Source organism: Homo sapiens, chromosome 4 (assembly GCF_000001405.40).
Source record: "Homo sapiens chromosome 4, GRCh38.p14 Primary Assembly".
Classification (NCBI taxonomy): Eukaryota; Metazoa; Chordata; class Mammalia; order Primates; family Hominidae; genus Homo; species Homo sapiens.
In genome coordinates this window covers 189,824,195-189,849,514 of record NC_000004.12, presented here as the reverse complement: position 1 = coordinate 189,849,514, position 25,320 = coordinate 189,824,195, and the positions used below count along the sequence as shown (strand labels likewise).

At 44.5% G+C, this 25,320-nt stretch overlaps 1 long non-coding RNA gene across 1 annotated transcript in view, besides 4 other annotated features; it reads left to right on the top strand.

Moving 5' to 3' along the window:
- FRG1-DT (FRG1 divergent transcript) overlaps positions 1 to 25,320 on the top strand; it is a 176,343-nt gene that overhangs the window by 91,219 nt on the left and 59,804 nt on the right. The window lies entirely within an intron of this gene.
- Positions 2,050 to 2,763: an enhancer, noted in NCBI's record as "H3K27ac-H3K4me1 hESC enhancer chr4:190767907-190768620 (GRCh37/hg19 assembly coordinates)". NCBI's record gives its function as "activates a minimal SCP1, AML or CMV promoter by ChIP-STARR-seq in naive H9 embryonic stem cells {active_cell/tissue: H9 hESC(naive)}" and the evidence as "EXISTENCE:reporter gene assay evidence [ECO:0000049][PMID:30033119]".
- Positions 2,764 to 3,477: an enhancer, noted in NCBI's record as "H3K27ac-H3K4me1 hESC enhancer chr4:190767193-190767906 (GRCh37/hg19 assembly coordinates)". NCBI's record gives its function as "activates a minimal SCP1, AML or CMV promoter by ChIP-STARR-seq in naive H9 embryonic stem cells {active_cell/tissue: H9 hESC(naive)}" and the evidence as "EXISTENCE:reporter gene assay evidence [ECO:0000049][PMID:30033119]".
- Positions 20,347 to 20,847: an enhancer, noted in NCBI's record as "H3K4me1 hESC enhancer chr4:190749823-190750323 (GRCh37/hg19 assembly coordinates)". NCBI's record gives its function as "activates a minimal SCP1, AML or CMV promoter by ChIP-STARR-seq in primed H9 embryonic stem cells {active_cell/tissue: H9 hESC(primed)}" and the evidence as "EXISTENCE:reporter gene assay evidence [ECO:0000049][PMID:30033119]".
- Positions 20,848 to 21,347: an enhancer, noted in NCBI's record as "H3K4me1 hESC enhancer chr4:190749322-190749822 (GRCh37/hg19 assembly coordinates)". NCBI's record gives its function as "activates a minimal SCP1, AML or CMV promoter by ChIP-STARR-seq in primed H9 embryonic stem cells {active_cell/tissue: H9 hESC(primed)}" and the evidence as "EXISTENCE:reporter gene assay evidence [ECO:0000049][PMID:30033119]".

The window sequence follows — 25,320 nt, the reverse complement described above, 5'->3', positions numbered from 1 at the left end:
CTAAGGAAGGTGATTTCATACAATGCATCCTAAAAACACAGGTTGGTCATTTTATCTTGTCAATAACCAAACCCTTCTGGCTGCGTGTCTTCCCTACACATCCTCTGAAATAGTGTCTGCTGGGTCTCTTGCCTAAGCAGCCTCTGACATAGTGTCTGCTGGGTGTCTTCTCTAAACAGCCTCTGACATGGTGTCTGCTGGGTGTCTCCTCTGAACAGCCTCTGACATAGTGTCTGCTGGGTGTCTTCTCTAAACAGCCTCTGACATGGTGTCTGCTGGGTGTCTCCTCTGAACAGCCTCTGACATAGCGTCTGCTGGGTCCCTTCTCTAAGCAACCTCTGACATAGTGTCTTCTGGGTCTCTTCTCTGAGCAGCTTCTGACATAGCGTCTGCTGGGTCCCTTCTCTGAGCAGCCTCTGACATAGTGTCTTCTGGGTCTCTTCTCTGAGCAGCCTCTGACATAGTGTCTGCTAGGTCTCTTCTCTGAGCAGCCTCTGACATAGGGTCTGCTGGGTGTCTCCTCTGAACAGCCTCTGACGTAGTGTCTGCTGGGTGTCTTCTCTGAGCAGCCTCTGACATAGTGTCTGCTGGGTCCCTTCTCTGAGCAGCCTCTGACATAGTGTCTGCTGGGTCCCTTCTCTGAGCAGCCTCTGACATAGTGTCTGCTGGGTGTCTCCTCTGAGCAGCCTCTGACATAGTGTCTGCTGGGTGTCTTCTCTGAGCAGCCTCTGACATAGTGTCTGCTGGGTGTCTCCTCTGAACAGGCTCTGACGTAGTGTCTGCTGGGTGTCTCCTCTGAGCAGCCTCTGACGTAGTGTCTGCTGGGTGTCTTCTCTGAGCAGCCTCTGACATAGTGTCTGCTGGGTGTCTCCTCTGAACAGCCTCTGACATAGTGTCTGCTGGGTGTCTCCTCTGAACAGCCTCTGACATAGTGTCTCCTGGATGTCTTCTCTAAGCAGCCTTTGACATAGTGTCTGCTGAAGCTTCAAGGGTTGTTGATTGGGACTAGATGTTCAGAGGTCAACATCAATTTTGAACTAAAAAATGGATTCCCCACCAGAAACTATTCTAGCACTTCCCATATATGATGATTAAACACCCCCTTGGTTGAAACTGTCTCAGCTTTTAATATGCCACCATTTTGTTGCTACTGGTGAGCTTCAGAGCTCTTTTTAAGAAACCTGTCCTTGGTGCCTTTCCCATGACTCCGCTTGTTTACTTCTTTTTTCTTGTCACTCCCATCAATCCCTCAGATATCAGCAATCTCCTGTTGTTATTCCCATTAAGGCCTGTCTTCCATACCTTTCTCTGCTAACAAAACCTTCGTTTTCATGTTCTTATTTCACCACTGCTCCCAGCTATCTCCCACTCTAGACAAGATCGTTGATCGAATCACCCTAAGTTATAGGCTGCAGCTGTGTCCAGCACCGTGTCAGCCACAAAGGGCGAGGAAAACAAGGCCCTTGTTCTCAGCAAGTCCACAGGGTGCTGGGGGATAGGCATACAACTCTCATTGACAATTGTCTTTTCTATTCCCCTTAAGGGTCCCTGTCATGGATTTGAAGACAGATTTGTGGGCCACCAGCCTTGAGTTAGTCATTTGGCCACCACTTCTCCAAGTCCTGTGCTTTCCCCTGCATGACTGTGGACCCCCAGTCGCTTTGCTAGTAGTTGTGGTCTGGAATTAAGGATATACACCCCCTCACAGCCATTGTGATAGCACTGCATGAAACTGGGGTAGGGCGGGCATGTGTGACTATACGGCAGGTGTCACTTCTCCTAGTGAACCCCAGCGTCCTGTCTCAGGGTCACCATCATTCACAGTTATGTAAAGAAGCCAGAGGAATTGCAGTGCACTTAAGTAAACTTAAAAATCATCTCCTAATTATTATTGATCTTCTCATCAGAGACAAGGTGCCCAAGAACTGAATGGGAGGGAGGTGGGCACGCCACCTTATAGCCCAAGAATCATTAGTCAGGACAGCCTATTTATAAAAATAGCTTGCTAAGAGGAGTTTTAAAGACCACAGAAGAGTACATTTCTTTACTAGTTTTATTTACTAAAAGTGTAAAAATTAGACTTTTAAATCATTTGATTCCAGAGGCACATTTTTTAAAAAATGTAGTTTTTGAGAATTATAAGAGGTATATTAAAAAATTTTAAGTTTGTCTCTTTTTTTTGAAAGCTGAAAATTAATCTAATGCTATTCTTGTCAACCAAAATAGGAGAGAGCTGAGGGACACAGCATGGAAAACATGAAAGAGCTGAGGGACACAGGATGGAGAATATGAAAATAGGAGAGAACCGAGGGACATGCAAGGAGAATAGGAGAGAGCCGAGGGACACGGCACAGAGAATGGGAGAGAGCCGAGGGACACGGCACGGAGAATGGGAGAGAGCCGAGGGACACGGCACGGAGAATGGGAGAGAGCCGAGGGACACGGCACAGAGAATGGGAGAGAGCCGAGGGACACGGCACGGAGAATGGGAGAGAGCCGAGGGACACGGCACGGAGAATGGGAGAGAGCCGAGGGACACGGCACGGAGAATGGGAGAGAGCCGAGGGACAGGGCACGGAGAATGGGAGAGAGCCGAGGGACACGGCACAGAGAATAGGAGAGAGCCGAGGGACACGGCACAGAGAATGGGAGAGAGCCGAGGGACAGGGCACGGAGAATGGGAGAGAGCCGAGGGACAGGGCACGGAGAATGGGAGAGAGCCGAGGGACACGGCACGGAGAATGGGAGAGAGCCGAGGGACAGGGCACAGAGAATAGGAGAGAGCCGAGGGACAGGGCACGGAGAATGGGAGAGAGCCGAGGGACACGGCACAGAGAATAGGAGAGAGCCGAGGGACACGGCACGGAGAATGGGAGAGAGCCGAGGGACACGCAAGGAGAATAGGAGAGAGCCGAGGGACACGGCACGGAGAATGGGAGAGAGCCGAGGGACACGGCACGGAGAATGGGAGAGAGCCGAGGGACAGGGCACGGAGAATAGGAGAGAGCCGAGGGACAGGGCACAGAGAATGGGAGAGAGCCGAGGGACAGGGCACGGAGAATAGGAGAGAGCCGAGGGACACGGCACGGAGAATGGGAGAGAGCCGAGGGACACGGCACGGAGAATAGGAGAGAGCCGAGGGACACGGCACAGAGAATAGGAGAGAGCCGAGGGACACGGCACGGAGAATGGGAGAGAGCCGAGGGACAGGGCACGGAGAATGGGAGAGAGCCGAGGGACACGCAAGGAGAATGGGAGAGAGCCGAGGGACACGGCACGGAGAATGGGCGAGAGCCGAGGGACACGGCACGGAGAATGGGAGAGAGCCGAGGGACAGGGCACGGAGAATGGGAGAGAGCCGAGAGACACGCAAGGAGAATGGGAGAGAGCCGAGGGACACGGCACGGAGAATGGGAGAGAGCCGAGGGACACGGCACGGAGAATAGGAGAGAGCCGAGAGACACGGCAAGGAGAATGGGAGAGAGCCGAGGGACACAGCACGGAACCATAGTTCAAGTGATCTGAAATTACCTGATATGGTTTTAAGCTCATGGAATAGGAGAGATTTGGCACTTAAGAATGTTTAAGGGGATATATTAACCTTTTCTCAGGGGTTATGTAGCCGATGAGCACAGTTCTAAAAAAAGGCAGGCTTTAGTGCAGCGTAGTCAAATACAAACTCCAAAAAAGGGACCTGAATGAATAGATTGTCCAGGAAATTATGGTTGAAATGAATGCTGCTGGAAATGATGAGTTTGGAAAATGAATGTGTTTTTACTAAGATGTGAAGTGAAGAAAAAAGGAAAAAGTAATATGACTCATGAAGATTTTGTGATCTGGTACTAAGCAATGTGAACTGGTTCCGGTGATTCAGCCTCTGGGAAGACACTGTCCTATCATGATTTACAACCAAGGGTCTGGGACTGGATACAGGATGCTATTCGTATTGATCACATAGTCTTATTTCATCAGAATTTAGATCTTTAAGATAAATGGAAGGCATTTGATCACATTTGTATTAGTAAATTGCTGAGATTTGACTGCAAGTGATAAAATAAAAAGAGGTTGAAAATGAACTGGTAAAAAAGATTAAAAAACTGTAATTGCTGGTGAAAGTAAAACTGGTTTATGTAGCTGTGGACTCAGGCTCTATTTTCTGACAGTTTGACAGGCAATTGAAACACAACATTAAACAGTAAAGGTTATGCCTTTAGCAATAAATTAATCTAAAGAGCCATCTTTTCTTTTAATCTCACATGCAATGCAAACTTATTACAAATCTACTTTCTTGTCCCAACATTCCTTTTATGTAGTAAAAGCTTTTGTTTGCAGGAGGTTATGGTGAATGACCAACATGGATTTCTTGTAAGATTTCATCACTGAAGGAGCAGTTTTAGTGAAATATGCGAAGTGATTTTTGTTCCTGATCTTCCATCAAAAAGCTGTGCAAGAGATAGCCACTTGCAGAACCTACTGTGGGATGTTTTGGGGGTTGGGGGGTTTTACATTTAATTAAATTAATTAATTTATTTATTTTGAGACGGAGTCTCGCTCTGTCGCCCAGGCTGGAGTGCAGTGGCGCCATCTCAGCTCACTGCAAGCTCCGCCTCCCGGGTTCACGCCATTCTCCTGCCTCAGCCTCCCAAGTAGCTGGGATTACAGATGCCCGCCACCACGCCCGGCTAATTTTTGTATTTTTAGTAGAGACGGGGTTTCGCCATGTTGGCCAGGCTGGTCTTGAACTCCTGACCTCAGGTGATCCACCCACCTTGGCCTCCCAAAGTGATGGGATTACAGACCTAAGCCACTGCACTGGGCCAATTTTATTTGTATTTTTGGAAAGTGCTACCTATGTTTTCCTGCCAGTCCCCACTCTCCCAGAGGCAAACAAAAGATGCGTTTCCAGGATTTTTTTCTCAATGATCACCCAGAAGACTCCCTGGATCTTAGGGCAATAAGGTGCTTTTGTTCTAAAGCTGGGAGGCAGGATTGGTGCTGTGAATGTGTGGCCGTGCGCTCAAAAGTGCTCTATGCTTAGCAGGACCCTGCACCTGATTTAATGGTTTGTGGCTTTGGTCTTGAAATTCTTAACGAAGTTTGAACAAGGGGCCTTGCATTTTCATTTTGTACTGGGCCTCGCAAATTATGTCGTCCGTCTTACTGATAGTAACATAATAAGTGACATTGATTGTGTTCTTAGCAGGAACTGTTTTAAGCTTCTTACCTGTATCAGTTCATCTAATATTTGTAACAATCCTCTGAGTTAGGTGTTATGGCTCTCAATTGCAGATGAGAGACTGAGCACAGAGAGGGGAAATTGCTAAACTAGTAAGCTGTGGGGCAGATTCTAACCCAAATCACCTGCTTCTGGAGCTGGTGCTCCTAACTGCTGACCATGCCGCCTCCACCCCACTTGCTTTCTGAACTTCTCATGGCTTGTGTGTGCTGGAACAGGCACCACCTAAAGCAAACTGCATAAGGCTTGTTTGCTGAGAATGCATTCAGCAAATGCAAATATACGACCTGAAGAAGTCAAGCAGAATTCCTCAATCTCATCTGAAATTAACTAGCTGTTACCTTGGGCAGGTTTCAGATGCAGTGGAGGGAAGAAGGGAAATGAGCAAGGGAAAGAGTTTTAAAAAATGTAAAGTCAGCACGAGCGACAGAGTGAGATCCTGTCTCAAAAAACAATATTAAAAGGTGGGGGCATAGTTGCACCTGGCAGGGCCCCTGGTGGTCAGCTTGGGAGGAGTGATGTGGGGTAGGAGGGGGTCAGGCTGGAGGACAAGGGAAAACATGACAAAGTACAACCACGCTGCCAACTTAGCCGTTTGATTATGGCCGACGCTGGAGACAAGTCACGCAGTTTTAAATTGTTTCAGGGACTGAGTGAGAATACTTTTCTGATTTCCAGGTGACTGCACATGTGAGTGCTGGTGGGTGTGTGGCTGGAGGTGGCTGACGCAGCCCAAATGTTGAAAAATGCAGTGAGACACCTTCCAGCAGCTGCGGCTGGGCCTAGGATTTAACAGCTTCCTGCAGCTGGGGCTGGGTATAGGATCTACAAGCTATTGCCAGGCTGCAGGGGAGACTTTGTTGCCACCCTTCAGAACGCACCACCTAGTAGGCGACACAGCGTAGGCACTTCAGAGTATGTGAGCAATGAACACATGAATCTCACAGTTGTCCACCCTGCTAGTGTTTAAGGTGGGTTCAGTATTCAACAACTCTCTTTCTGACTGACAGATTAGATCTATCAAGAAAATTTGGGCTGGGTGCGGTGGCTGATGCTTGTAATCTCAGCACTTTGGGAGGCTGAGGTGGGCGGATCACTTGAGGCCAGGAGTTTGAGACCAGCCTGGCCAACATGGTGAAACCCTGTCTCTACTAAAAATACAAAAATTAGCCAGGTGTGGTGACGTGTACGCTACTCGGGAGGCTGAGGTGGGAGCACTATTGAAATGGGGAGGCAGAGGTTGCAGTGAGCCGAGATTGCACCGCTGCACTCCAGCCTGGGCAACAAGAACGAGACTCCATCTAAAAAAAAAAAAGTTACAATTTGTTGTACTTCTGCTTACCACAACTGTTGATCCACAGAGTAGAACAGGGTCCTTGAGTACGCGAGTTTTGTTTGATGTTATGCCATTGCAGTGCCCAGCATACTGACTCTGTGATTGCCTGTTGTTAGGATAGGATAAAAAGAAACCCAATCTTTTAGGTCCCAAGTTTCTCGTTTCCCACCGTAGGCTAAACATGGTGCCTGAATCTCAATGTCGTGACAAGGTGTGTTCATTCCTAGTAGGCTCAGACGAAAGCTTCTTGCTTCGAGTCGCCGTAGTGCTCAACGGTGGTGTGATCTGCGGCATCCTAAGAAATATGTGTTTGACCTTTGTCCCAGGTTCTTTGCACAGAGTTCCCACAGCCCTTGTAATTTTCTGGGAGACGGGGTGGGAGGACCATCTTTTGCTGTTCATAATAAACCACTGACAACCGTGCCTGAGTTTACAGTAAGGACCCTTGATGGGTCCCTAGATAGCTTCAGAATGGGGCTGGTTGCCAGGAGAGCCAACTACGTGATCAGAGGGTTGGGTGGACAAATTTGCTTTGAAGGAGAATTGATTTTTGAGGAGGATATAAAATATCTACTTTGTAGCCAATGACCTCCTTGGAAGAGTGTTTTTTCTTTTTAATATTACCCACTATGAACTTAAAGAGCCAGTAGCTATGTGATTATAGTTAGATGTATTCGATGTCTGTGCCATCCCTGCAATAAAGTACATCACAGCGTTCCCAAGGCTGTGTTAACAAGGCAGTCCCAGATGCTCTCGGCGTCTTCCTTCTTTCTGGAGATTTTACCTTTTGTTTTCCTTTTTTCTTTTCACATAAGACCTGTATTTCTGATCAGAGAGGTTAAGGACTGTTGCTCCTCACTGTTTTTAAAACATGACCTTGCTACAAGCCACCTCTACTTGTTTCTAAATTCAGGGATATTCTATGCTACTTAAGATGCGTCACTGCCCATCTCTGGTCAAAAGTATTCTTTTAAATTTCAGCATTCATCTAAAAGGCATGATACACTAAATATAAAGAAGTAATCAGCAAATATTAGGCATTTTACAATCTCAATTGCACCATACCAAAAAATACCTGTATGTGGTTTAACATGTTTACACACCTTGAAAATCTAAAATTCAGACATTTTATACATGGAGTGCCTGTGCCTCATGAGCAAGGATCTTGATCATGTTATTTAAAGCCCTGCACCACTGCCTAGTGGTGGGCCTGGGAGATCCTTCTGATCTTAGCATTCTTGACCTTAAATTTTGAAGATAATCAAAATTATTGATAATTTTTAAGGGATACAAGTATTATTATCCAACTCCTAACCTGTGCACTTGAAGGGGTGATAGATTAGTCCCCTAGACATTCTGAGCATTGCTGCTGGATACATTGACAGAGGGCTAGAGGGCAGAATTCACAGGACAAGAATTGCCATCACCCTTAGTTCTCCCTGTTTCTGTATTGAATATAGGACTAGTGAGAGGACCAGGAAGGGAGCACTCTGGAGGGGAATGTGGAGGATGGAAGGATGGGTACCACTAAGGTGCAGGTGTAATATGTCTACCATCTAGTCATCTCCTTCTCTGCATAAACACCAGGGGAAAGGATGGTTTCTGAAAGAGCATCTTAGGAATGCCATGAAAACAAAGGGTGTGCATCTGTCCATGTGTGGGTGTTCTCTACTAGTGAGTTTGGAAATGAGAGTGCCTTTGAAACAAACAGACCACTGTAACCACCCAAGGGGTTCTTTTTGCCCACTGCCAAGATAGAGCCCATTTGTCAAGACTGGGGGATTGCAACTGGGAAAGAGTCTAATACACGTAGAGCCAGCTAAAAGGGAGACTGGAGCTTTCTTATGACTCAGATCAACTTCCCTGAAAATTCAGAGGCTAGGATTTTTGAAAGCTGGTTTGGTGGGGTGGGAGCTAGGGAATGGGGAGTGCTGATTGGCTGGGTTGGAGAAGAAATGACAGGGAGTTGAAGCTGCCCTCTTGTGCTGAGTTGGTTCCTGGGTGGGGGCCACAATACCAGATGAGCCAGTTTACCCTTCTACGTGGTGCCAGCTGGTCCATCAAAATTCAGCGTCTGAAAACACCTTGAACACCAATCTTAGGGTTACAATAGTAATGTTATCCACAGGAACAACTGGAGAGGTCCGTGATTTTGTGGCCTCCGGTTGCATGATTCCTGAGCCATAATTTCTAATCTTGTGGCTAATTTGTTAATTTTCCAAAGGTCATCTGGTCCCCAGGCAAGGAGGGGGTTGTTTCAGGGAAGGCTGTTATCATCTTTGTTTCAAAGTTAAACTATTACCTAAATTCCTCCCAAAGTTAGCATGGCTTACACTCAAGGATGAGCAAGGGCAGCTTGGAGGCTAGAGGCAAGATGGACTCGATCCCATAGTTAGTGTGGCTTACACTCGAGGATGAGCAAGGGCAGCTTGGAGGCTAGAGGCAAGATGGACCCGATTAGGTCAGATTTGTTTTGCGTCGTAATGTTTCTGTGTCAGAGTCCTCTCATTGTCAAAATTTTTGCAAAAGTGTTTTCACTACTAAGTCCTAGGAAAACATTTTTTCTTTCTGTAAGAAACCTCAAGAGGTTGTGTACTTATCTATTTGCTCTTCAGCGGCATAATTCTAGGTGTCTGTTAAAAGTTTAAAAGTGATCAGCTGGAAAATATTCATGTGGTGTTGGGGCACAGGGGGCAAAGCACCCGCCACCTACAGCAGTTTTAACAGTGCTGGCACCTGCCGGCACTGTAGGTAGCAAAGAATATTATGAGTAATTCTTCACTTCCTTAAGTATGTTAGAAAGGTAAAAATCTTCAAGAGAAACTCCAGATTTTGGGTGGGTTTGAAACTGCATTACAAGTTGGTCCTGCAAAATCCATGTTGCCTGTAAGCTACAGCCTTTGAAATGAAACACACTTCACAAATTGAGCTTTGCCCGTATTTCTTTCAGGGAAGCAGCTGTCCTGTTTCCTCTAATAAGGTAATATGCCTGAAAATGCAATATAAGCCTCCAGGGTCAATGATTAGAGAGGTTTGGCCCACACAGGCTGAACGGACCCTCCAAGCAATTGGACGGTCCCTCCGTCAGTTGCAGCAGCTCCTTCGCCTCCACGGAGAGGGAGTTTGGCTGATTCTGTGTCCTTCGCCTCCACGGAGAGGGGATGTGGCTGATTCTGTGTCCTTTGTCTCTGTGGAGAGGGAGTTTGGCTGATTCTGTGTCCTTCGCCTCCGTGGAGAGGGAGTTTGGCTGATTCTGTGTCCTTCGCCTCCGTGGAGAGAGAGTTTGGCTGATTCTGTGTCCTTTGTCTCTGTGGAGAGGGGGTTTGGCTGATCCTGTGTCCTTCTCCTCGCTGGAGAGGGGGTTTGGCTGATCCTGTGTCCTTCTCCTCGCTGGAGAGGGGGTTTGGCTGATCCTGTGTCCTTCTCCTCGGTGGAGAGGGGGTTTGGCTGATCCTGTGTCCTTCTCCTCGGTGGAGAGGGGGTTTGGCTGACCCTGTGTCCTTCGCCTCCGTGGAGAGGGCGTTTGGCTGATTCTGTTGTTCTATTTTGTGGTAGATTGGGTGTGGGGAGTGTTGGCGTCTAAGAGCAGAACGAGGCTGTGTGAAACCTTTTCGAATGTGTAGGTGTGTTAGGCTGAAGCACTTGTTCTGATCACACAGAGCACACCCTGGAGTGGAGTCATCGAAGGACTGTTTGACTTACCGACTGGACGGACTCACTGCTTCTGTCCATTGGAGTTGGGAAGGAATTCCATCCAGAGAGATTCTAAAGAGAGTCAGCACGAGGACAGATGAGGAGAGAAACGGCTGTGAATGGAGCTTGACTTTCCCTGGAGTCCTGACTTTTTTCAGAATAAATGCTCCTGTAGAGCCTGATATTCTGCAAGTTACAAGTGGCTGCTTGCCCTTCTCATTTGCACCCCAGCTGACTCCTAGATAAAGTAGGTGGAACATTTTATGTGACGATTATTGCCAGGGAACTTTATCTGTTGCTAACAGGCATGGTGAAAACATTTGCACAATATGACAAGAATGACAGCATTCGATTAGAGAGGGCTCACCTTAAGCCGGGTCATGTTCCAGTGCTTTAGAAAGAGGACTACCGCTATCAGTGCTTTCTCTTACCACATGAGATGGGTATCACCGCTTTCATTTTAAATATGAAAAAGTAGAGGCTTAGGGAGGTTAAATGCCTGGTCTAGGATCGAACAGCTAGGAAGAGGCAGAGCCATGGTTCAACAGGTCAGTCTCACTCCAAAGCTGGTGCCTATAACCACCGCCCTCCAAGATGAAAATAAAAATGGGAAAGACCTGCATAATATTTGTACAATGCAGTGGTTTTAGTCTCAGGTAAACGTTCCTCAATGATTCTAATTCTCCCCTCCCTCTTTTTTGCCATGACCCATTGGGAATTACTGGTATTACACATATAAGGCTGTAAAGGGCCTTCATGTACTTTTTCTCATTCACAAATTGTGATTTCTCCAGCTGTTCTATCCCTGACAGCTGTTTTATTTTCTTTAATGATGGAGCAAGTTCTAAAATACAATGTAAATCATCAGAGAGTAAAATTAAAGTTACCAGGTAAAACCCAAAACATCAGATAAATTGATTTTCAGGTAAACAACACATAATTTTAAAAGTTGTAAGTATTTACTAAATACTGCATGGGACATACTTACACTAAAGTATTTTTCATTGTTTTTTGAAATTAGAATTTAATGAGGTGTCTATGATTTTATTTGCTGTGTCGGGCAGCCCTGCATTAAATTAGAGAGGTGTATGTCCAAAGAACGAAACTTGGATTTGGCGTTTCATGATATTCCACAGAGGTCAAGGGAAAACTCCCGTGAAATGGGTAGAAGAGAAACATTGGGAAAGTAAATAGTTGAATCGACTTGCTTTGTATAATTAGTCTTTTCATACAATCTTGCCCATGTCAAACGGTGTTTTCGGTCATTGATATTTTGTGTAGAATGGTAACGATTAGAGTCATTGCAAGAATTATTTTGTCTTTATCAATAGTTCCGCTGAAGCTCCCCCAAGGTAAGACTCAATGCAAACCTAGTTTTAATATTTCCAAATGTTTAATTTTTATCTGAGGGTACTGCAGGGCCTTTGAGGTCTTATGGAAAAAAGTCCTTCCATCAGTAGGAACTTGCAATTTTCAGTTGTGATGAGCGTTTCTGCTCTGGAACGCAGGCACATGGACTCGTAATGCTGTCCCTTTAACTCTCAGTTCTGCATGGCTGACTGGACACAGTAAGCTCTGTAGTTACTTCCCTAATAGTTCTGACTCTGTTTCACAAAAGCTGCCTCTTTCCTTGTGTAATGAAACCATGAAGTCTTGAAGAATGCCTGATTTCCTGGGTAAAGGAGCTTCCGGAGTAATAATATTTAGTGGGATTGAGGTAGTGGCAGTGCTAGCGGCAGTGGTGATGTGGTGGTGGTGGTGTGTGTACTAGTGCAGTGGTGATGTGGTGATGGTGTGTGTACTAGTGCAGTGGTGATGTGATGGTGTGTGTACTAGTGCAGTGGTGATGTGGTGATGGTGTGTGTGTGCTAGTGCAGTGGTGATGTGGTGGTGATGGTGTGTGTACTAGTGCAGTGGTGATGTGATGGTGTGTGTACTAGTGCAGTGGTGATGTGGTGATGGTGTGTGTGTGCTAGTGCAGTGGTGATGTGGTGGTGATGGTGTGTGTGCTAGTGCAGTGGTGATGTGGTGGTGGTGTGTGTACTGGTGCAGTGGTGATGTGGTGGTGGTGGTGTGTGTACTAGTGCAGTGGTGATGTGGTGATGGTGGTGTGTGTGCTAGTGCAGTGGTGATGTGGTGATGGTGTGTGTATTAGTGCAGTGGTGATGTGGTGATGGTGGTGTGTGTACTAGTGCAGTGGTGATGTGGTGGTGGTGTGTGTACTAGTGCAGTGGTGATGTGGTGATGGTGTGTGTACTAGTGCAGTGGTGATGTGATGGTGTGTGTACTAGTGCAGTGGTGATGTGGTGATGGTGTGTGTGTGCTAGTGCAGTGGTGATGTGGTGGTGATGGTGTGTGTACTAGTGCAGTGGTGATGTGATGGTGTGTGTACTAGTGCAGTGGTGATGTGGTGATGGTGTGTGTGTGCTAGTGCAGTGGTGATGTGGTGATGGTGTGTGTGCTAGTGCAGTGGTGATGTGGTGGTGGTGTGTGTACTGGTGCAGTGGTGATGTGGTGGTGGTGGTGTGTGTACTAGTGCAGTGGTGATGTGGTGATGGTGGTGTGTGTGCTAGTGCAGTGGTGATGTGGTGATGGTGTGTGTATTAGTGCAGTGGTGATGTGGTGATGGTGGTGTGTGTACTAGTGCAGTGGTGATGTGGTGGTGATGGTGTGTGTACTAGTGCAGTGGTGATGTGGTGGTGATGGTGTGTGTACTGGTGCAGTGGTGATGTGGTGGTGATGGTGTGTGTACTAGTGCAGTGGTGATGTGGTGATGGTGTGTGTACTAGTGCAGTGGTGATGTGGTGGTGATGGTGTGTGTACTAGTGCAGTGGTGATGTGGTGATGGTGTGTGTACTAGTGCAGTGGTGATGTGGTGGTGATGGTGTGTGTACTAGTGCAGTGGTGATGTGTTGGTGATGGTGTGTGTGCTGGTGCAGTGGTGATGTGGTGATGGTGTGTGTACTAGTGCAGTGGTGATGTGATGGTGATGGTGTGTGTACTAGTGCAGTGGTGATGTGGTGATGGTGGTGTGTGTGCTAGTGCAGTGGTGATGTGGTGATGGTGTGTGTATTAGTGCAGTGGTGATGTGGTGATGGTGGTGTGTGTACTAGTGCAGTGGTGATGTGGTGGTGATGGTGTGTGTACTAGTGCAGTGGTGATGTGGTGGTGATGGTGTGTGTACTGGTGCAGTGGTGATGTGGTGGTGATGGTGTGTGTACTAGTGCAGTGGTGATGTGGTGATGGTGTGTGTACTAGTGCAGTGGTGATGTGGTGGTGATGGTGTGTGTACTAGTGCAGTGGTGATGTGTTGGTGATGGTGTGTGTGCTGGTGCAGTGGTGATGTGGTGATGGTGTGTGTACTAGTGCAGTGGTGATGTGATGGTGATGGTGTGTGTACTAGTGCAGTGGTGATGTGATGGTGGTGGTGTGTGTACTAGTGCAGTGGTGATGTGGTGGTGGTGGTGTGTGTGCTAGTGCAGTGGTGATGTGATGATGGTGGTGTGTGTGCTAGTGCAGTGGTGATGTGGTGGTGGTGATGTGTGTGCTTGTGGTATTGGTGATGTGGTGGTGGTGGTGTGTGTGTGTTGATAGAGGGTGGAGGGAATCAGGGGTGCATTTCCTTTGTAGAGTAATTTTGACTAAAAAACTACTTGGCTCTGGAAACTTGCTAGAAGAATATTTTAGAAGTACATCTGTGCATTGAGTACTGCATATTTTAAGCAACAAATCAACCTGTAACGTGCATTGCAGCAGAATTTATTAAAAGAGAGGTGCACGTGGTATGTAGAGAAACATTAGTGGGACTTAATGAAATGAAAGAAATAGAAAAATATTCATTTTCTGACAGTATTTATAGGTTTTTAAGGCCCTGATTGCCATTGCTTTGTGAGTTTCCTTCTTTCTGATTGATGATGTGTCCCGGATTTGGTTCCTTTTCCCCACATGCAATTTCAGATGTTTTTCACTGGAGGAATATGGATTGATAATATACAGGAAAGTAAAAACACACAGGAGAATTTTAATACACAATGAAAAGAATTCAGTTGTAAGTGATCTGAAAGCCCAGTCCTCTCACCCACTCTTTGATTTAACAGCTCCCAGTCTATTAAGACTTTGCTTTACTCAAGGATTTCGTGTTAATCATCTTTTGTTTTATAGCCCTTTATTTTCCTGCTGGAATCAATATCCCATCAACTTCACCCACCGGCTACTCTGTGATCTATGAGATGGTGCTAGTACAGGACTGAATTTATACCAGAGCAATTTGCCTTAAATGTTACCAGCTCTTTATCCAAAACATTTCTTCCAGCTTATTCTCATAATTTTACTACTTCTCGCAAAGCTGCTTCTCTGCTTTTAGAGAGTAGAGAGTGGCAAGTGAAATGTAAAATGCCTGGAGAGAGGATATAAGAGGTTGGGCTTGGAAGCACAGAAGTTAAATCCGCGAAGTGATGTCAGTCAACAGGAGAAGTGTTGGCTGTTTTCACACTGTGTGGCTGCTCGTGACACAGACTTGATGAATTCATTTCCACCTTGCTGGCAAAACCAATTTGTTTCAGTGAGACCACATTTCAGAGCAGTTTGGATCCTGCTGGTATATTCAGATTGCCTGAAAATCAAGCAAAAGTAATCAGTTTGGTGCCCTGTATCGTAGGACGATCTCGCACCCCTTTCCTTCCCTAGGGTTACCCTCATTTGGCTGGGTGGACGTTGTCCTTCAGATCATTTGTATAAATCCAACTTGCACATCACAGGGGTCTCTAAGTTCTTTGCAAATATTAATTTAGAACTTAAAAGTGCATTATCCCCCTTTAAAAATACATTATCCGAATTGTGATGCCAGCATTTTAAATACAGTAAATGATTAGTTACTTCACTTAATCTTGTCACTGAATATAATTGCAGTCACTGAGAGCTGGACATTGATCTACGTTCTTGATGCCTGTTAAGACATTTTATCTCATAAAAGGATGTTACTGGTAATTATGACACCTTGTGCTTTTCAATAGTTACATTTATTTTAAAAGACACTGTTTTCTTCTTAAATGGAATAATTTCCTTTCAACGTGGGAGGAGGTCTGGTTCCCAGTGTCCACATGAGGCAAATATACAGGCAGCTCTCTGTGTCCACAGGCTCCCCATCTGCAGGTGGTTGAAGCCAGATGGAAAATAGTACAGTTGACCCTCCATGTCTGTGAGTTTCTATCCAAGGATGAGAAACCCATGCATAGGGAGGGCTGACCGTATTTTAATTTGTTTCAAGATGTCTTTTTCCATTCTGTTTTGAGTATTTAATAAAACAGTCAAAAAGCAAATTTAATATCTGTGCAAACTCATTTTCTTGTGAAATTGCTTAGACTTGGTCCTTTAAGGGAATATTTGGAGAAGCTAATGTTAGAGGTCAGAATCTAAGAAGACTTTTGGTTTTAGCTTTCTTCGTTGTAAAATGGGAGTAGTAATTCCTGTCCTCATGTCTTCTCAGGGCTGCATGGAAATATGAAAATGCTTTAAAAATGAAATTAATACACAGATTCAGACTTACTTTAAAGAGAGTGAAGTATATGAGCGTTCTATAGGACAAGGAACATGACAACATATATAGTCCACTTCTGATGTTAAAAATTATTGCAGGACTGTGTTAATTACACTTCTACGGACACCTTCTAACTTCAACCATGTCTTTTTTCCCATGTGACTCTTCTTAGAACTTGGTCTGTCTATAAGAATATTCCTTTTGTAGTTGTTTCTCTACTTATCACCCTCTTAACTCTACAGTTTTTGAATAATATATTACAGCTTGTCATATCTGGTGGTCAGAGGCAGACGGTGCTTAAACAGGCAGTTGACATCCAATTACTCTCTGAGCATCCGAGCCCACTAGGTGTCTGGCATGGCCACCCTGGGGGATAGTCCCCCTTTCTGGAACAGACGGTTGCTTTGTAAGAGGGTTTCGTCTTTCCCTGGAGCATCGTGCGGACTAGATTAGGCCACCTGCAGAGTCTCTGCCAAAGCTCATTCATTTCTGACCTGGCACCCAGCAAAGTCCTCACAGACACCATGAGGATGACTCCCAACTAGAAATGAGTCTATTTGGTGAAGGTTTTGTCTCTCAGTAATAAAACATGGAGGAAGCTAGAGCTATTTATTAGGTAGCAATTACTCAAAGGCAGTGTCACACATTTATAGGAAAACTTGTAAATCTAAGGAAAAGTGATTTGCCCGCAGTGGGAATAAATTAAACAGAGATTGGAAACATCGTTTCCTCCTTTTCTGCCTTACTTTTTGTATTTTATAAGAGGTTAAAAATGGCTCTAAAGTATTACTTGTGAGTGTTTTATTTTTACCGGCAAAAAGAAGTTTTAACCACATGTGAAATTTCACCACTTACTAATGACGTCTACCTTTGAAGCAAAACTCTTTCATTGAAGGCATGAATTATATTATGGATATGATGTTGTGCTACATCAACGTGAATTTTTGACACACTAATTTATAATGACTGGGAAATGAGAAGACCATAGGGGAAAGATAAGACTGGCATCCAGACAGCTAAAATGCAGAAGGATGATTGATTTAAAGATCGGCTTTAAGGAAAGAATTATTTTTAAAATGTGTATTTAAATGTGAGTAGGCAGACCATGATTACTTTTTAGACTGCCAGAACAATGAGGTTGAGGATCGGGTGATTTGGGACAGTTCGGACTTATCCTGATTTGACTGTGAACCTAGCAAAAATAACAAAAGCAAAACCAAAAACAGATCATCCGAGGACATGGGTATCAGCAAGGCCGCTGGGCTCGGGCAGGGCTGCCCAATGTCAGCTGTGCAGTGTGGTAGCTTGTCTCCTGAGACGGTCCACAACATTCCACCTCTCTCCGCATATGCTTCCTGCCCATCCTGTCAAAAGACAGAACAGATTTCCCGTCACTAGAATCCAAGCTGGCCTTGTGACTGCTTTAGGATAGAATGTGACAGAGATGGCATTTGGAGCTCCTAAGCCTAAGCCTTAAGTGACAGCCACTTCATTTCTCTTGGAATGCTTGCTCTTGAGATCCTCAGTCTTGGGAACCTGTCTCCATACTGTAAGAAGTCCAAGACGCAGGGAGAGGCCATGTAGAAGCGAATGGAAATGCTCCCTTAGATGCCCTGGATGAGCTCACAGCTGATGGCCAGCACCAATGCCAATCACATGAGTGAAGCATTTCGCGTATTTCAGCCCAGTTGAACCCCAGACAACCACAGCTTCAGATGCTATCACATGGAGCAGAACCCACAGAATTGGAGAAGGTGCTGGAGGATTGCTTCTCTCTAAAGAGAACCTTTTCTCATTCCCTGAAGGGCCCTTGTAGACTGGTCATGGCTCTCGGTGTTCGAGCAAATCAGGTTACAAGTTATGTCACCAGATAAGGATTCTATGTATCTAAAGTTTACCAGCTCACAGTGAGCTTGTGCCTTCCTATTTTTCTTTAAAAGAGATTTTTGCATTTTTGGTGGGTGACTGGGAGTGTGCTGTGCTGTTGACAGCTCAGGGAGACATGGCGCCAGGGAGGTTCAAGTGCGGAAGGTCAGAAGGTAGACATTGTTGCTCAGATGGAGGCATCTCCTCAGTTCCGCAGAAAACGGTGTTGCTTGTGGAAGTGACAGTGGGTGAGATTTTGTCACAGAGATCTAAAGGAAACTCGATCTTTGTTTAAGCAGGAATTATCCTGCTTTCATGTTCTATTTCATGTGGCAAAGAAATGCAGGCTTTGTCCAAAAGCTACTTATAAACTTGTGCTTTGTGTTAGTTTTACATTTTATGTGTTTATGTTATATTTTAGCTTTTTGACATATTTTATTTTAGGTTTTTTCTTTTAAGCCAGTTTATTTGTCAGCTGTCTGACAGCAATAACCACAGGACAGCCCTTAAGAAATTGGGGGTAGGCTTTACCTGGCATAATTTCAGGTTGCAAGAAACCTCTCCCCAAAATAATCACCACCTACCTTTTGGACCCGGAAATTCTGTTGAAAGAGTTCCATTGCATTTCTTTAAAGTGTTTATCCTGCTAGAACACAAGATTTAGAATAGTAAGACATTTTCTTTATTTAAACATTAAATTCAGTACATCTTCAGCTTCCCTTTTGAAAATACATAAAGATACCAGGTATCTGAAGAGAGAAAGTAAAAGGTTCACCAAAAATCTGAAAAGAAGTTTTAAGTTCCTGAAACAAAACTCTAAAACTTCATAGAATTGAAAAGAGGAGGTTATTATAACTTGCCTATGAATTCAGAGAAAACAATAGCATTCCCACTGCCTAAAAAAATCGTGTGTTGTGTTTACGCTAGAAACTTTATCCTCTATAGAAATAAATTTTGTTCTATTTTGACAGTCTAGAAATATCTGTGAATTAAAAACACAATTTTGAAAAAATATGATGTGAAAATATGTTTTATAATCTCACTCTGTGCATAATTTTAGCTAAAGAAAATATTCCTTTATATTTTAAACTGACAAAAATATTGCATTTTTCACAGTTCTATTTAGCTTTTTTCCTGATCAAATCGGTGATCATGCTTTTATATGTAAATCTGTAGTTTATTTTTCAAATGTTTAATTTGCTCCTTACCTGTATTTTTTTCTTGTTAAAGATTATTTGAAAGCATCATAAAATTTATTTTATTTATTCATAGACCACTCTAATATTTTCAGAAATTACAGGTTGCGATAAAACCACCAAATTATACAACACATGTAAGGGAAAGACAGAAATTAAAAACAACAACAACAACTTTGATTTGGAAATAGTTTCACATTTAAAGAAAAATTACTAAAATAAGAATAGTACATAGGACACCTGATTACCCAGATTAATCTACTTTTAGCATTATTTTCCTTTTTCTCTCTTATTTGCTTTTTTCTCTCTCTTTTTACTTTTGCCCTCTCTATTTTTATGTATGTTTTATGCATATTTTAATTTTTTCTTGATATTTTTGTCCTGTACTATTTCAGAGTAAATTGCATTCATCATGGCCCTAAAACTTCAGTGTGTATTTTTGAAGAATAAGGATATCTCTTTAGAACAGTTAATGTTGCTACAGTGATCCTGTCCAACTACCATCAGCGTTCCATTTTTGTCAACTGACCCCATAAAGTCCTTCCCAGCCTTTTTTCTTCCTCCAGTACATGATCCAGTCTAGGAAGAGATTGTCATGCGTTTTTCTAGCCTCCTGGAACATTTCAGAAGCCTATTTTTGCCTTTTATGACGTGGACACTTTGAAGAATACAGTCCGTTTCAGAAAGAGAGACGGTTTCTCATTTTGAATTTGTCCAACGGGTCTGCCTGGTTTGTGTTTGTCCGACGGCTCTGCATGGTTTGTGTTTGTCCGACGGGTCTGCGTGGTTTGTGTTTGTCCGACGGCTCTGCCTGGTTTGTGTTTGTCCGACGGCTCTGCGTGGTTTGTGTTTGTCCGACGGGTCTGCGTGGTTTGTGTTTGTCCGACGGCTCTGCGTGGTTAGATTCAGGCTCCTCATTCTGGGCCAGAAGTGATGTGTGTTTTTCTCTAGGGGCACGGGATGTCCATCTGTTCTTCAATGTTGATGGTAACTTGAATCACTTTAATCTCTGGGAGACCATGCAAATCACACGAAAATCTCCCCCTAGATTTGGCCTCTGTTGGTTACTGAACTGAAGTTTACCGTGGTGGCTGCGAAGTGACAGTTGCTTCTTCACGTTTCCCAGTTGACGCTTAGCGTTCTACTATTAGTGAGATCCTTCTTTTCCCTGCACTGATTTGTTTACCTATTGATTATTGGCATGGACTCATTAACAAGATCTTGTAAATGGTCTGTAATTTGTTACTGTCCTTAATTATTTTGGTGTTCAAATTATCCCCTATTGGGCCTGCAGGAGCACCTTTCAGCTGCCTCCTGAGTCTGCATGACGTGCCCCTGCTTTGGAATCTACCTCAGGCTGAAAAGCCAGGGGCTAGAGAGGTGGAAATGAGTTTTCTAAATTTCTTTCACTTTATTAGCATATCTGTGACCAGCCTGGATCACAGAGGGGTATTGTGAGTCATAGGATGGAGGGAACCAGAGTCCGATCTTAGGGAAGTCCTTTCCCTGCTGCAGAGGAGGTGGAGAACCCTTACATCATGGCCAGGCATTGCAGCAGGTAAGGGAGAGAGAGACAGGTAGACACAGACAAGCATCGCAGCCGGGTAAGGGAGAGAAAGGCAGGTAGACACAGCCAGGCATCGCAGCAGGTAAGGGAGAGAGAAGCAGGTAGATGCAGCAGGTAAGGGAGAGAGAGGCAGGTAGACACAGCCAGGCATCGCAGCAGGTAAGGGAGAGAGAGGCAGGTAGACACAGCCAGGCATCGCAGCATGGTAAGGGAGAGAGAGGCAGGTAGATGCAGCAGGTAAGGTAGAGAGAGGCAGGTAGACAGCGGATGAGCATCGTGGCTCCCACTCCCGGCTGAAATCTCACAGAGGAGGCGAGGCTGAGGGACAGCGCGTGGCAGGAGGCCTGTTCTCCTGTGCACTGTTTTGAACGTTGGTGGGATGGGGCCGTGATCACAGAGGGAATGTGCTATGGCAGGGCAGAGGGAGCCTGGTTAGCCTGCTGGGGCCCTGAGGGCACAGGGGAGGTCCCCGGTCACCAGCTCTGCTGGGAGCTGAGGCCTTTCTTGCAGGGGCCACCGTGGTAAATGGGTGTGACCCTGCTGCAAAGGTCACACCACAAACAGCCCTCCAGGAGACAGACATGGCCACAGAAGAGATCTGGGGTGAGGTGGTGGGGAAAGGGCCCACAGCCGCACAAGGCACTGTCCCAGAAAATAAAGTAAAGACAACCTCACCAGGCATGCCTTAGCAGAATCTTCCAGGTCCCAGGAAACGTGGCCAGCTGGTGGCTCTGCAGCAGAAATTAGTGAAGACTCAAAGGACCCATGCAGACTCAAAGCCTCTTCCTCACATCACATATGCCTGTTGCCTGGGCCATTGCTGTGGATACCTGAAAGTCAGAATGTTTACCCCAAGAGACACAGCCAGTTGCTACGAGACTTTTTGAAGTGTAAGAGAATGAGACACCATTAAATGGAAAGTTGAAAGGGTTTCACTCCAACTCCCTCTGGTAGCCAGCCCCGTGAGGCTGGGTGAGAGGGTCAATTAGTCATAGAAAACGAGATGCCACTTTTTCTTTGCCTGAGTAAAAGTGTGTATGACTTTTGATTCCATTAAATACTCTTTGGCCGAGAGATCACTCCAGAATTCTGGCAGGCAGTCTCTCTCACTGGACAGTCTCCTACTCTGGGGCTCTGATGGCTGCGCCCGCTAGTTTTGCAAACCCGAAAGTCATACAGTTATGCCCATCGCCCACGCTGTGTTACGAGGCTCCGTGGAGAGTCCCATGTATGCATTTTTAAGTTTTCCCAGGTACGTTGTCTGGAGTATTCAGTTTTGTGTGAAATAGACTTGGTCCCAAACTATGTGAACCCGGGAGAATTAACTGTAATTGGTTCAGGGAGATAAAACATGTCTGCCCAGGGGTTGATGATTTTGAAAGGGTATTTCTTATCCTGGGCCAGACAGACATGAATCATCAAATAGGTATACAGCGTGGTGTCCTTATTTCTGACCATCGAATCCAGATGTCGGCTCTGACCAGTGGTTCCAGGTTTCTGCTCAGTCTCACTGGGTTAATAATAATTACTAACATTTGGATGGAGCGTTAAAGTTTCACGGCACCTTCTTGTGCATTGATCACATTAGATGGTGGTGCTGGGCATGAATGATATGTGCCTTCACCTGCCGACCCAAACACCCTGCCAATAGGGTTTTGTCTCTTTCTAAGAATTTCTTCAAATTCTTTGAGTAGCTGATTCAGCTACTCAAAGCTATTTTAGAATAAGACAGAAAATGAATAAATAGAGAGACGTTTGGTCTTTCTTGTCTAGAAGATTCAATTCCCTGTTTATGGTCATAGAAGATAAACTGTAGCTGGTATTGGGAGGTGCTGTTCCTCTAACCTGACTATCTAAGACTGTTCTTTTCTTTGCTATGAAAATGAAGGAAAATATTATTGTCCCAATTAAAGATATAAATATACACAAGCAAAGAAGAGGCTAAATGACATATCTGAAGTCTCACTTTGAAGAATGAGCAATTAAAACTCTGGGTCCAGCTCACTTTTCCAGAGTAAAAATTTTTTTGAAAGCCTTATAATTCATAGACACGTCTGAAAAAGCTGAATCTTCCGTGCTGGTCTGCATTCCAATAGGTGGCTAAAACTGGTCAGAATTTGAAGGAGTCCCATTCATCAAATCTATTTTTAGAAGTGCATTAGCATGTGGCTTTGCAAACTCACCTTCATTCTTATGAAAAGCAGTCAGTGCTGCCATGAAAATACTGTCACGATTTACTGCCTCCTCATGAGACCCAGGGCTAAGCCAAAGGGATACCATGCACCCTAAACCTCCTCATAGCTGCTGCCTCTGAAACTCGACTCTGTAATTTGGTAAGTATTTTAAAAAATACAACTAAATGGCTACCACATGGTGGAAAATTAGCAATCTGGGACTAGAACTTCTATGTGGTATTAAATCCACATATGGAAAAAATTAAATATTATCCTCAATGCCCTCCATGTGTTCAGTTGTATTAAATGAAATGCTTATAAAGCGTGACATTATTTAACTTTTATAAGGTTTGTCACATCTAGTAAAACTTATGACTGTTCTTTTGAAAAACTTTATGCAGGTGCCTTCTGAGCCCACATCAGTCTGGATGTCTTATAACATACATGTGATTTGTTACTGGATATAGCACTAGACAATCAACAGTAGAATTCCAACCAGGATAACTTAATATATCACAAAATGCAGTCACTGGTAGTAGGCAATGCTGTGGTAGGTTGGTCCACAATAATCTCCCTTTCTATAGAAAGGGTTTTATGAAACATGCAGGGTGTGAGATGTACCATAAATTGTTTTGACAAAACTGACTCTAATATAAATGGCTCCAAGTCTCTTGTATTTCTGAAATTTAAATGACACAGCCACGTGATCTTTGCAATCTGCCTTTGGGAATGTAACAGGGCTGCTGAACAAATACCCTATTCCTATTGATGCTGCTGACAATAACAAGAACTTTGGGGGGAAATTTGCCACCTTAACTTGGTTTACTTTGACCCAGGGAGGTATTTCCTGAGCCCAAAGTCTAGTTTCTCAATTTGCTGGGGGCTGACTCTGGTGCTAGATGCTTTAGAACTGAGATGGTCCTTCAGAGTTCAAAGTCATCGTCTCTCTCTGGTTCAACAGTGTGGTTTACACCCCGTTGGTGTCCAAACCGCCTGGAAGATTCTTTAACACAGGAGATCTGGTCTCCATCCTAGACCTACTGCAGCTGTATGTATACGAAACTCTGCAGGTGATTTGTAGTCAGTCTAAAGTGAAGACTCTCTGACAGTCTGAAGTCCATTGGCTAGACAGAAAAAAAACCAAGCCTGAGAAGGTGATCACGTGTCCCCACTATATACAGCTAGACCGTGCAGAACATAAGGCTGCATTATTATCCAGTGATCACGGGGGGTTTTAGCTGTACAAATGTGACCCACATAGAATTCAGTCCCTTGTTCCTGGGATAAAATAAGTTGCTAAGCTGGATTGAATAACCTACCATAATGGGAGGTCCATGCTAGAATGTGTCATCTCAACATGTTCATTCTTTTTTTTTTTTTTTTTTTTTTTTTGAGACAGAGTTTCACTCTTGTTGCCCAGGCTTGAGTGCAATGGCACAATCTTGGTTCACTGCAACCTCCACCTCCCGGTTTCAAGTGATTCTCCTGACTCAGCCTCCCGGGTAGCTGGGATTACAGGTGCTGCCCCCACCACACTCAGTGAATTTTTGTATTTTTAGTAGAGATGGGGTTTCACCATGTTGACCAGGCTGGTCTGGAACTCCTGACCTCAGGTGATCTACCCATCTCAGCCTCCCAGAGTGCTGGGATTACAGGCATGAGCCACCGTGCCCAGCCAACATGTTCATTCTTGAATCTCCACCTGGGAGGCAATGAGAAGGACACCTGACTTTGCTGAGACTTGATACCTAGAGGTCTCAACTCACCACAGAATTTATGCCATGTCCTTTTAAATTCCAGTCTTGGAGAGCTTGTTTAACCATGGGTCAAAAGAGTTTGTCCTGTTATATTTGTAATAGATCAAACTCTTAGGCAGTTTAAAAGGTATACTTGGTTTCATACAGAACATAGCAAATTTGCCAAGCCCAGTTCTTCCATGTAAATAACATGACTGAAGTCCATTTTATTGTCACATACTGTGAGGCAATGTGTGATGGAAAAATGTTTCAGGTTCTGGTGAAACAATCTTACTTCACAGGAAATACCTGGGATGAAGTCTCACCTTGAGACAAGCTAGAAAGAGTCAGTGACTATGTCTAAAGAAAAAGAAGGCATTTCCAAGGAGATCTTGAGTTTCTCAGGCAGGCCGACTCCTCTCATTGCATGTTGCTGCGTTCTCAGTGATAATGTCATTCTGGCTCATGTTACAATATCTTTGGTTCTCTGGGTCTAGATTTTTCCATACGGCAGCAAACTGCTTTAGGCAGCTCATAGATGATCAAAGGAACAACAAGCTGCTAAATGTAATGTAACTACCTGTAAATGTCAATGTTTTCTCAAATAAGTGTTTTTTTCCTTTAGTTCCAAATTTTGCACTGTACACTAATGTTACTTGGGAGGTGGCATAATAGTGTCTGATGAGAGAATTCCTGCAGCTACTTATTCTATATTTTCACAACAATTCTCCACAAAGCAGTGGTAAAAGTCCATGGACAGTGTAGTTTCACCCCACAAGAGCATTTCTTTTTGCTGTTGTCTGTAGAATTTCTTCCTTGTGTGTCCTCTTATGAAGAGTGACCATTAACTCTTCATGTTTCACTGTCTTAGACGTTCCTATAGGATCACTAGATCTGGGATCCTACAGATCACTAGAACTGGGAGACAATCTTTTTCTTTCCCTAACAACATCTCAGGCTGAGTTTTTTACTATTAAAAT